At 39.2% G+C, this 13,407-nt stretch overlaps 1 long non-coding RNA gene across 1 annotated transcript in view; it reads left to right on the top strand.

The window, feature by feature from the left end:
* Nucleotides 1-6,683, top strand: part of LOC105374439 (uncharacterized) — a 45,914-nt gene extending 39,231 nt beyond the window's left edge. The window contains exons 2-6 of the long non-coding RNA XR_925277.3: nt 10-947; nt 2,689-3,039; nt 3,708-3,790; nt 5,034-5,515; nt 6,228-6,683. This is a non-coding gene — a long non-coding RNA (uncharacterized LOC105374439). The remainder of the gene's footprint in view (nt 1-9; nt 948-2,688; nt 3,040-3,707; nt 3,791-5,033; nt 5,516-6,227) is intronic.
* Nucleotides 6,684-13,407: the final 6,724 nt, after the last annotated feature.

Raw genomic sequence — 13,407 nt, forward strand, 5'->3', positions numbered from 1 at the left:
TTCTTTCAGAGAGGTGCTGTCCTGATAAAAATATATTGCAAATGCCTAAGGTACAAGGCGAGATATTAAGGCTTCAGTTAAGACAACGACTTTTGAGAAGAGTGGAGAATGAAAATGGAAATAGAGGAGACACTACTGAGGTTACGAGAGAGAGAGAGAGGAAAGTGAAAGCGGGAAAAGTTGCTAATAATACTGATATGCTCACCGTTGTTAAGCTTTATTTCAATTTTTTTCTTTAGAAATATGTAAAGAGAAAACATATTCTTGGTTCCTGATAACGATTGCCAAATTACTTCTCAAAGAGCTTCTCAATGACATTGCTATCAACATGAAATGAGAATAATGGATTCCTGAAAATATTAGCAGCTTCTGTGTGTTACACAGCATTTTCATGAATCTAATAGAATCAGTAATGGTGTTACAGTAGGTAGTTGGTCACACATGATCAGGGCAAGAGAGGGCTCCTTGCATCCCACCAGAAATGTCAGCTGAACATCAGATGACGGTCAGGCAGTTGTTAGCGGTCTCTCTAAAATAATAGTTGGGCACATCCAGCGCCAGGGAAAGGTAGTCTCCCAATAGATAGAAAAACCTGAAACTGGTGATCAGCTTCCTGATAAGGTCTCAGGAGTTGGGTGACTGGGCTCGAGCATGAACACTAAGAGGAAAAATGGCAAAGTTTAACTGGTGTATGAATTCCCCTAGGAACACTCAACTGGTATGAGAAAAATGCTTGAAGTGAGCACATGCACAATTCCAGTAAACACACTGAGCATGCAGCCACTCCCAAGAGCTGGCAGGCCACTGCACATACAAATAGGCCACCCCAAGGGAAGAATTGGGAGAAGGGATGAAAGACCTCAGAAGTATGCCAACATGTAAAACTCCAAGTCAAAGATCAAACAGGGCACTTGATCTCTCAAGTTGCCTGCTTGGCCCTCTTCCAGGTACAATTTATTTCCTTTTGTTCCTGCTCTAAACTTTTTAATAAACTTTCACGGCTGCTCTAAAACATGCCTCAGTCTCTCACTCTGCTTTATGCCCTTCAAATTCTTTCTTCTGAGGGAGTAAGAATTGAGGTTGCTTCAGGCCCATACAGATTCACTGCTGCTGACATACTTTGGTGCCACATGACTTGGATACATTCCCTAGTGGTAACACACCTCTATGCCTTGCCTTCTTTGGCTGAAGGTGTTCAATCCTTGTACACAGTTTCCTTCTCCCCTTTCACTGTCTTGCTTACTAACCAACCCGCTTTCAGCCACGGTGGCTCTGCTCCCCGTGGCTGATCCCTCAGCTCACTCTGATGGGTGGCTTGCAGTGTTGGGAAGGACCTTGGAGTCTGCACAGAGTAGAACTGAGACACTAATGGCCCTCCTGGATGAGAGGCTTGTGAGAGTGGTAAGTCTAAAGTGTAAGACCATGCAATGTCTGCAGTTTCCTCTGCTTTTCCAACTAAAATTGGCTCTTTCCCCAAAACCCCCACGACCTGTTCTCCATGCGTATTCTGAAATGGCCGTGTGCACCACAAGACCATCCATCTCTGCCTCTTCTTTACTTTCACCTCACATGCCACATGACTTCTTAAATACATAATCCCTGTTAGTCATGTACCTGTGGCTCTTGCATTAGCATGGAAGCAAATACGCAGGCTCTCTTGCAAATATCCCCTGAGATTTATTTGTTTTTACCCTACCAGCTCAGATTACTTCCAACTCTTCCCATCTGCTGGCACATTGCTGGGACCAACAGTAATTGGAACCTGGACTCTGCCAGCTCTTTATGACTTACCATATACTTTTTGTCCCTGTTATACTCCAGGGCTAAGTTTTTTGGTGGCTTTTGAAGCAGTTTGTCTGCCTGCATGGGGCCTCACTCGGTGTTTTTTTAAGGATCCCACCTACCTTCTTTTTTTGAGTTAGCACCCCTTTAGGAGGAAGAACAGTTATTCTCTTGTCATTTGCAAGTTCTTTCCCCAAGGCCCAAGTCCTCTGGAGGTTACTGCTTTATGTCAAGAGGGCAAATAAACGTTTCCTTCTCAAATCTAAGGGCTGCTGTTTCTGCAAGTATATGAAGGCTTTTTATGAGTATCCCTCTTGCTTCCTCCCACTTACTCCTACTCCTGTTCCCTCAAATTCTCTGACACTTCCATACCCTTTTCAACATGCATCAAGACCTTCAAGATCATATTCAAAGGGAGAGAAGTCCAGTCCCTCGCAGTAGTTAGCTAAAAAACAGGCTTCTCATCTACTCAAAGACCATGGGAAATAGGAAGCTGAGAAAAGAGATAATCGTTTTGTTGGTAGAATACTCTGAGTGAGAGTCACTGTAAGGTCATGGAGACAAGGATATAGCCCAGCCCAAGACCACAGGTTCAAGGGACCCATTAGAGAGAGATGAAGGTTGGTTCCAGGCTAACACATTACCACTAGAACAGAGATAAAGACAAGGTTAAGACTGGTTATTTCAGAATCCCAAGGATGAACAGTTGGCTCCCTGTCACTCCAGTATCTCCTGTGTTCTCAAGTGGGTAATTGTGACAAGATGAGACCAAGGTTAAGGGTACACAGTAAGACAGATTTATTCCAGAATGCTAAGGACAAATAGGGGATGCCCTATTCAGGATAATAGGAAAGTAAGAGGGACACCTTCTTTTTCCTTTTTTTCTCCTCTCTTGTCTCTTCACAGATGAGTAATTCCATCTCCATACCAGAGGATTTGCCCCTTGGATTATTCCCAAAAACTGGAAAAAGTTTGATTCTCCTAAACCTTAAAAAAAAGCCAAAAACTAGTTTTACTTTGTAATACTGTTTGACCTAAAAATGAACTGGGTGAAAATACAAACATCAGCCTGAGACCCCAGTAACCTTATGCAGGAAATCCTCAAATTAGCCTCTTCAGTCTTTTACAACTGAGAGCAGAATAAAGAGGACAGAGGGAAAAAGAAGAACAAACACAAAGATAAGAGGCAGGCTCAACTATTGGCTGCTTTATAAGCTCTCCAGTCCCCTCCAGGTCATCCTAAGGACACTCCTCCAGGTAACTGCCATCGGTATGGAAAGCCAGGCTCACTGGAAGGCAAACTCCCCAATGGGTTAAATAGGAAAAAGCCCTGCATTGCTTGCCCCCTCTGCCGCAAGCTCAACCACTAAAACTGGACTGCCCTGAAGGCCAAAGGGCCCCCAGGATGGAATCTCAACCTTTGATGAGCTTGAGCTGAAGGGGCTCTCTGCTCCAGCCAACTCCAAGATTAGACATCATCAACAATAGGGCAAGAGCAACTTTGGAGGTGGCAAGTAAAATTATAAATTCACCTTTTAGGTTCAAGAGCTTCCTACTCTGTGCTAATATCCTTTGAGCAGCTGTCCTCCAAATCCTGTCAGGTAATGGGGTAAATGACAGCTCCTTCTCCTAAAGAAAAGGATCACGACCCTTTGGGGCAAAAATATACTTTTCAAAATGGGTGCCAGCTTAATATTTACTCAACCTCTAAATTTGTCTTTTGCTCTAGTATCCCTATTTCTTCTGGGAAAGATACCTAAATCTTTAACCAATAACTTTGACTTGGACTGTCTTTCCTCAGGGGTTTAGAAATAGCCCACCCTTATTTGGATAGACCCTAGCAAAAAATCTAACTGAGCAATCTCTTGAAGGGGGATAACTCCTACAGTATATAGATAAACTCCTTATCTGTTCCCCCTTCACAGGACTCTCATGGCAACACATAGTACAAACCATGACTTCCTAACAGAAAGGGAAATGACTTCTGTCTAATTCAAAGAATATTAAGGTAAAGAAATATTTTTGGTAAGAAAGGTTATACAGAAAGTAGATTTTATATGAGAAAGGATCTTGTATGGTAAATTATTGTCCTAAAGTAAAATGACTGTTTAAAAAGAGTTGTTTAAAATGTTGTTTAAAAAGAGGGATGTTTAGGACAAGTCAGAAAGTCCAAGCATGTCATAGATGTTCTGTGTAGGTCATAAAAAGATTCATGAAAGGGAATTTACATAAAGAAATAATATATAATTTTAAAGGTTATTAGGCATACTAAATGCTTCATACACTGCTACTATGACTCTTAAATGTACAGCTTGCCTGCTTTAAAGCCATTAAATTCTCCCCCAGATAAGGCCTGGGGACATACAGAGTTAGCCATGGCTAACTCCCTTCTGATTTGGAGTTAGCCATGCCCCCTAGCTATGCTTGTAAGAGTCAAACCTTATCTGCACTTCCATCTGATGTCCTAGGCTCCACACCTAGTACATAACTAAAATCGTTTACTTACCAGGTTGTACACTAAAAGTAAAAGTTGCTAAGTGCTAACAGTGTAACATATATTTGAGGTTACTGGAAAAACAGTTTTCAATGCAAGGCATGTAAGGAAAGTAGAATGTACTTTTAGTAAAAGATTATAAGAAGGCATAGGAATGTAATTTTTTTTGCCTAGCTTAGAGGGTTAAAGGATTGTTATTAGGTGGATAGGATAAAGCTGAAGGTTAAAGCAAGTTGTAGGAGGTTTGTCAAATAATTTTGTCAAAGAAATTCTGTGTGTGATCATGTTGGCTAAAGTTAAAGGGGTATTTTTCAGTTTTTCCATAAATTTAACATTGGAATAAAAGCACAGCATGTTTTTTAGAGCGTTGTTCTGTTCTTTAACAGAAAATTATAAAGGGTGATGAGAATCTTACCTTATAGTCAAACTGATTAAGATTGAGTAGATTTGTCTATAAGGTTTTATTAGGAACTGGATTTAACATTAATAGTACACTAAAGCAAAGGTAATATTTGGCCATAATCATGTGAAACTCCTGTAATTCTGATGTAACTTAGTATATATTATCAGTAATAGTTATAAGTATCAAATTATTTTGTGCCACAGAGGTTAACAAATTTCCTTGTCAATTGTGCCTTTGACTGTGGCTTCCCTAAGACCTTTTTAATCTACATACAATTGTTGTCTTGTTTTGATGTTCTTTAAAATGTGTTTTTATAATCAGCTATCAGACTCTAACTGGTGTTCTTAAATGCAGGTTTCTGATTTGCAGATTGTGACATGAGAATAGAGGAAAAACTTTCAGGACACTTAAGGAGAGCTGAAATGCTCACGAATATTAAGCAGAGCATAAGTCAACTGTATGGACTGACCTAATAGAAGACTGAAATAATTCTTCTATTTACACCTTTTAACAATTGAGTAAAGTATACTGCTGTAAACAAAATTTGGAGCATATTTGTTTCTCTCTACCTGATTTCTCTAGAATTAGGAAACTATGAATATTCTTAACATGTGAATATAGTTATTTGCATAAGTGCAGTAAGAATCTGTTTTCTTTTGCAACAGGACACAATTGGAAACTGGTTGTTTTACCAAGACTTTGTAAAGCCTTGCTAACTGGAATTTGTGCTTTCCTTTAAGGAATCATATTTGACTTATAGATCCAATAAAAGCCCTTTGGGAAAACTGGCCTCATACCTACTCTACACAGTTCCTGTACAGGATTCCTGACCTGTGGTAAGTAAAGAATATCACTTTCTGACAGGCCCAGGAGCCCCAAGTTATCTTGGGACCTCAAGCAGAAAGGTATTTATTCAACTCATACAGTTACTTGATGGCACAGGTATTTGAAGATTTAAACCCATGGCTGGGCTTAAGGTTTTAAAAAGTCTTCTCTGAGATTTCTCATGGAACAAAGTTCCATCAAAGCCAATTTAAAAAGTAGCTCATATGGCAAATAGTTATTCTTGCTGTGCTTTATACAAATAGCCAGGCCAAGTATAATAAGACTAAAGCTTATTTCGCAAATAAATCAGTTCTATCATGATTTGTTTTTAATAGAAATGAGAACTGGTGAGAGAAAAATTATGTTAATGTACCATGGTACTTGTTATTAGATTCTAGTCTCATCAATAGTTTTTGAGATTTATCTGCAATTCAGACTAACCCTGCTTATTTCTGTGAACCAACTAGTGATCTCTAGCTTCAGCTCAAAAGAAATAGGAGGGATGAGTAATGCAAAAATCTGGATCAAGATTCTAATGCTGGGCACATATTGGAATTGGCTAGCAGCTCCATCCCCCTAAGTCTTAGCAGGCATGACTATAGCTTTCAGCTATGTGGGCATGGCAGCAGCTTCAGGATATTTTTCTGGAGCTGTCCTCACCCTGTTATTTCGTTTTGACAACTTCTAAATCTAATAACCTGATTTGTCTTCTCTTGCCTTCAGGCCATCAAGCACCAGATAATCCTCAGTGAGTGATACATCCCCTTAATATTCAAGAGCCACCCTTCTGTAGGGGGCCGATAGAATGCCCCATCAGTGGGACAAGACAGAGGTGAAATCCTGCCCCTCTCTCCCTTGGACCTGGCTAGATACTGCTTTTACCATCCCATGGAGTCACACTGCCCTGACAGGTAACAAGAGCCTAAGGCCCACAGAACAACCACCACGGTCCCTCTGTCAGCAGGGGGCAGTTACAGAAGACTGACCTTCATCCATTTTCCCCAAAGAATTGGGGTCTTGGACTCCTGACGTGTGAAATGTTATAGTAGGCAGCTAGTCAGACATGAGCAGGGAAGGAGAGGGCCCCTCTCCCCAACCAGGAATGTCCGATGACCATCAGGTGATGGTCAAGTGGTTGTTAACTGTTTCTCTAAAATAAAAGTAATGGCAAAACAGCAATTACTTATGCACAAACCTAATAATTAGTTGCATCAAGTGCCAGGGAAAGACAGTCTCCCAATAGACAGAAAAACCTGAAACTGGTGATCAGCTCTCTGATAAGATTTTAGGAGTCAGGTGAGTTGTTTCAAGCATGTGCACTAAGAGGCAAAATGGCAGAGTTTAACTGGTATACAATCTTCCTCTACGAACATGCAGCTGGTAAGGGAAAAATGCCTCAAGTGACCATGTGCACAACTTCGTAAACACACTGCAAATGTGGCCCCTCTCAAGTGCTGGCAGGCCACTGTGCATGCGGACAGCAACCCTAAGAAAACAATGAGGGCAGAAGGGATGCAAGACTCTGGAAATATGCCGGTGTATAAAACCACGAGTCAAAGGTCAGGTCAAACAGGGCACTTGATCTGTCAAGTCGCCCACTTGTCCCTCTTTCTTTCATTCCTGCTCTAAACTTTTACTCAACTTTTACTCCTGCCTCAGTCTCTCACTCTGCCTTATGCCCCTCAAATTCTTTCCTCTGAGGAGGCAAGAATAGAGGTTGCTGCATACCAGTATGGATTCACTGCCCTTAACAATGGTGAGCATAGACTGGGGAAAGAGACTACCTAAATTGAATAGAATAGGGTGGGCATATGCTGATTATAATTATATTTGCTATTTATATTATATTATCTAATACCTACCTATTGTGTTATTGGTTAAAAATTTCTTCAGAAATCATCTCCCCATTCATTCATATAGTTGCAGTGAGAATTGAACTATTATTGTTATGTAATTTTATTCATTTCCATGGTTGATAGGGCCAGAGATGAGACCATTTGAGTAACTGAGGCCATTCCCTGGAAATACAGGTGAAAATGGAAGTCATTTTTTCCTTGGTTCCAAGATTGTAATACAGGAGTCCCATGCATTATTGGTTGGTTGTTTTATTGCATGGACAGTGAAGGAAATGAAGCTTGTCTGTGGAGAGGTCATAAAACAGGGAGATCTATAGAGAGACACATGAAAGAGACGGACAAACGAACTGATCAGTGGAGCTCATTGTTCCAATTCTTTCCTGATGTTTAAAGCTTAAATTCTTTCATCTTTCCTTATCTACTCTTGAGGCCTCCTGGATAGATGCTCTTGTGCATTTTTCTGTCTTGAAGGTGATCTGCTATGGAATCTCACTCTAGCATCTCACTTTTCTCAGAGACGAACCTTGCTTTTGGTTAAACCTCTATTAACTATCCATTAATTCTATCAGTTGCTTGCTCTTGGAAAATTGATCTGACAAACTTATTCATAGTGAGTTGTTAATAGACCAATGTATTTTCACATATCTGGTAAATCAGAATTTTCCAGAAAGATATTACAATTTTCTATTACTTTGTTATACCAGTTATTTCAGAGAACTTGAGGCTGACTGAGCAAAATGTGAACCCTTGATAGAATCTGGACTGGCTTCTTCCTAATTTGTCATTTTTCATCTCTACCATCTCTCTCTCTGGACTTGCTGCCTCTTTCTCTGTGCCTCCTCTGTGTCACTGCTTTCCTCAGCTGCCTGTATGTGGCCCATTTGAGGTGATGGGGGCCTATACACAAAGCTGACAAGTAACTTCCATATTTTGTCAAAAATTTAAAAATCAACTCCACTTGAACTCTATGGAGCTTCCTACTTACCATGATAAAAATAAATCAGAAAAACAAAAACATTCCCTGGCTACAGGGACTTGGCGTTATAACAGACATATCAAATTCACATGCATAATCTCTGGCCACATCTCCTACCATCCATTTCTCTCCTACTCAGAGCCAACCTGCTAAGCAGGTTCTTCCCTCAGAAATGTATATGGCTTACCCACTGCATTTGTTTTCTAGGGATGCTATAATAAAGTACCACAAAATAGGTGACTGAGAACAGCAGAAATTTATTTTGTCACAGTTTCAGAGGTCAGAAGTCCAAAGTCAAGTGTTGGCAGTGTGGCTCTTTTTGGAGACCCATTCCAAGCATCTCTCCTAGTTTCTGGTGTCTTCCAGCAAGCCTTGGCTTGTAGATGTGTCACTCTAATCTCTGCCTCCATCTTCATATCACCTTCTTTTGTGTCTCTGTGTCTCCCCATCTCCTTCTCTATTCTCTTATAAGAATATCAGTCATAGGGTAGAGAGCCCACCCTAATCCAGGATAATCTCATCTTGAGAATTTTAACTTAATTATGTCTACAAAGACCTTATTTCTAAATAAAGTCATATTCCTAGGTAGCAGGGTAGGACTTGGACATAACTTTTTTTGGGGGAGGAGGCACTGTCAACCCACTATACCTCTCCTCCTCACTCTTATCATATCTTCATTTAAATGCCATCACAAAAAGAGCTTCCCTGACCATGCTATAAAAAATAAACTCTCATGCCTTACTTAATAACAAACCTCCTCACTCTGTGTCTACTTATAGCTTGCTATGGCCTAACACAACTGCATGATACAATTCAATTATAGCTCCACTGCTAACCAACATAATCTTTCAGTATCCCCTCTTCAATTTGTTGACAGAGAAAAAAATCTAATTCGTAAATGTATTCATTTTTTCCTGGCCATGACTCATGTGCAAACAGGTGGATTGGCTACCCTGATATCAGGTACTCACTCTTGGTCCAGTTCCAGTGACTGGAAGTATGGATTTATATGAGGAAACCAGGGTCATGTAGGTATATAACAGAGAAATTCTCTTAGCAGAAGAACTAGGCATGTATAATATTATAATTATGTAACTTTTTTTTCCCCTGAGATAGGGTCTTGCTCTGTCATCCAGGCTGGAGTGCATTGGCATGAACACCGCCCACTGCAGCCTTAACCTCCTGGGCTTAAGTGATCTTCCCACCTCAGTGCCCCTACCCCCACCCCCCTGCTAGTAGCTGGGACTATAGGCACATGCCACCACACCTGGCTAAGTTTCTAATTGTTGGAGAGGGGTCTTGCCATGTTGCTCAGGCTGGTCTTGAACTCCTGGGCTCAAGCAACCCTCCCACCTTGGCCTCCCAAAATGTTGGGGTTACAGGTGTAAGCCACCATACCCAGCCTTGTTTTGACTTCTTTAGTGAAGTCCAGTTTAAATTAACTACAAAATGAGATGAAAAGATTTATCATTTTTCTTACTTAACAGGTGACAATAAATTCCTTCCCCTCTCTGTTCCCCCATCCCTCCTTTCTTTCCTTCCTTCCCTTATAGATATGTACACGCACACACACACACACAAACACACACAGTCTGTAAAGTTGCAGTTAGTGAATTTTAGTTTTTCAGAGTTAACCATGCAATAAACCAATGTTGTGGTCTCTAGTGTTTACTCGGCTGTTTGTAGGCTGGTTTCATCTTATTATTATTTTTTTTTTGTATTTGCCTTATCTTTCTTCATCAGAAAATATTTGGGGATAGCACAATAGAAAGAATATTTGGAGACCAGAAACTTAGATTTTCTGACTACCACCAATTAGCTGTGTCTGATTTATATTTATATCTGATAAATATTTACATTTAATATCAACAGGAGGGAAATTTGATGAGTCTAATATGTAAAATGTATGTTTATAAAATTGATCAATTGCTCCAATATGAACCACTGTGGGTCCAAACTTTTGAGTAGCAATCCAAAAATGAATAAATTTTTAGTCAAATAATTTATAACTTCTAGAAAATTAAGGAGAAATTTTGGCTTCAAAGAAGAATAACTTTTTTTTTCTTTCTACTGATATGAAGAAACTATTCCTTCCATGAGTCCTCATGGAGAGGCACTATATAAATGCAATAAAACGCTTCTTAGTTACATCCTGAAATTAACTACAGTAGTGGTTTCTGTAATGATTAAGGGAATGGCATCTTAAATTGGGTTCAAATTTTCCTACCACCATTTATAAGATGAATGGGCTTGAGAAAATTCTTTGTTGGTTTAGTTTCCTCATTGTTAAAATATTGAAAACAGTAGGGTATAACTCAAGTTTTTTTTTTTTTTTTTGTGAATAGTAAATGAAATCTGATGCACGATTCTTTTTGTTGTTGTTGTTGTTGTTGTTGAGATGGAGTCTCGCTCTGTTGCCAGGCTGGAGTGGTGTAGTGGGTGCGATCTCGGCTCACTGCAGCCTCTGCCTCCCGGGTTCAAGTGATTCTCCTGCCTCAGCCTCCTGAGTAGCTGGGACTCTAGGCATGTGCCACTATGCCAAGCTGAGTTTTGTATTTTTAGTAGAGATGAGATTTCACCCATGTTGGCCGGGAAGGTCTTGATCTCCTGACCTCGTGATCCACCTGCCTTGGCCTCTCAAAGTGCTGGAATTACAGGTGTGAGCCACCGCTCCCGGCTGCATATGATTCTTAGAATGGTGCTGGGCACATAGTCAACACAAAATATTAAGCTATGCCTGTTACTGAAATGCAATTTATTATTTTAAAAAATTCTCAAAAAATAATGATAGCCTAATGTCAAATTGAATTTCTTTCACAGTAAGTTTTTGGTCAAGCCAAAAGTTTCAGAGTTCTTTGACAATCATACTTAACCCAATGAGATATTTCATAGTAGATGAATGAGTTTATCTGTTCTTCAGATAAGAATTTACCTATTCAGATAATCATCTATAAATAGTTTCATTCAACATAGTTTGTGAGAAGTATTGATCAGTATTGATTTTGTGGTTATACTCTGACAAGTACTTGGAGTACAGGCATTCTGAGTTGTTGATTAAATGTAAAACTAGTGTTTGATATTTGAAAGGAGTAAAAAAAGATTTAAAAGCGAGAAACTTGATAAAGACACATCTTATAGAAACACTCTTTTTCTGCATGGAGTTGGGCTGAGGCTACCTGTGGGAAATATTAGTGTTATTGTTAAAATGTAATCTGAGGCTTGACCCAGTATCTAAATGAATGTGCAATTGAAACTCACAAATTTTAAATCAGAGAGCAGACGTGCAATAATTTTACCTTGGAAAGTTTTGAAAGCAGGTGTAAACAAATGCTCACCTCAGCCATAAATAAAAACTCAGTGAAATATTTATAGAATCTTTAACCTTGAGCAATATTCCTTTCTTGTAGATGCTCCAAATGTATGCCAAACTAACTGAATGGATTTAATGTATGGTGCAGATTTATTGATTAAGGACCATTTAAGAGTTAGAGAATATATATCCAAAACAATCATTTTAGTTACAGAATATTTTATGGTACAATTTATGTTTGAAATTACTTTGGTGGCTATCTGTAGAAGATTGTTTGAAGGCAATAGTGAAATCAAGATGTGGCGGTTAATTTTATATGTTAAGTTGACAGGGCTAAAGAATGCCCAGACAGCTGGTAAAACATTATTTCTTGGTGTTAATATGAAGGAATTTTTGGAAGATATTAGCATTTGAATAAGTAGATTAAGAAAGTGGCCCTCACCAATGTAGATGGGCATAATCCAATCCATTGAAAGTCCAAACAAAATTAAAAAATAGAGAAAAGACAAATTTGCTCTCTCTACTTGAACAGGGTCATCCATCTTCTCCTGTCTACAAACATTGGCTTTCCTCATTCTTGGGCCTTAGATTCGAACCATAACTTACACCATCAGATCCCTGGTTCTCAGGTCTTCAGGCTTGGTCTGAAACTATACCACTGGCTTTCATGGCCTACCAGCTTGCAGATGGCAGATAGTGGGACATCTCAGCCTCCATAATTGTGCAACCCAATTCCTAATAAATGAATATATTCCTCTATATCTATAGGTATCCTATGTGGTCTATTTCTCTGAAGAACCTGACTAATATACAGAGATAAATTAGGCTGCTATAGCAGGAGTATAGGTGAGATGCTTATGGCTGAACGTGAATCAGTTCAAGGATTTGTGAAAGCTCCTAATAGGACACCTACATGATTCATACCCAATCTTAATATTCATATCTGCAGGTTTAGCTAATTCTGCCAAGGCATATGGGGAATAAAAGTTAAATACAGTTAAAAAGATATTTTATATTTTAGCAGTGGATATATGCCTTGACAGAAGAAATGTACATTTTAAAACAAACCATACATACCTTTCCAGGGAACTGAACAGGAATCAGAAAGAAAAATTTTCAGTGACATGAGCTAGGTGACAGTTCCTCTGTAGTTGACACAGATAAGAATGGCCAAACTAGCCCTCTTTTTTGCTAATTCTATCTCTGAATGCTGAAGATATAAAAGTCCACAAGACTCTGAAAGTGAATAGATGATTCCTCTGAAGTCCAAGTCTCTTTCTGGAAAATAATATTAGTTAAAAAAAAAACATGTTCTTTGAACGTCACATTTTAGGGAATCTATTATACTAAAATTAGGAAACTTCTGAATCCATATATTTATAGTGACAACCTGGCAATATTAAGAGGTATTGCAAATACAGATCACTCTCTCAAAGCAGATGAGGTCATGTGTGCAAAAGTATTAATTTTAAATTTAGAAGTTTATCAAGAACTATGAAGGATCTGAGATTTTTATTCTACCTGTAAATTAACAAGTTAGCTTGCCACTGTTTCACGGATGTCACCAGCAGACATGGAATTTTATTTTTGTTCAAAGACAAAGGATTGTATTACCCTTGGCACAGCAGGTAGCATGAATTTCAAGTTTCATTTTTCCCCTTGCTCTTACCCACACTAAGCCCCACAGGAGCAATGTATAGATGGGTCAAGGTGGATGCTGTGCCCACTGTGTTAGTATCACAGCTGAGAAACCTCATGCTT

The sequence above is a fragment of the Homo sapiens genome, chromosome 4 (genome assembly GCF_000001405.40).
Source record: "Homo sapiens chromosome 4, GRCh38.p14 Primary Assembly".
NCBI lineage: Eukaryota > Metazoa > Chordata > Mammalia > Primates > Hominidae > Homo > Homo sapiens.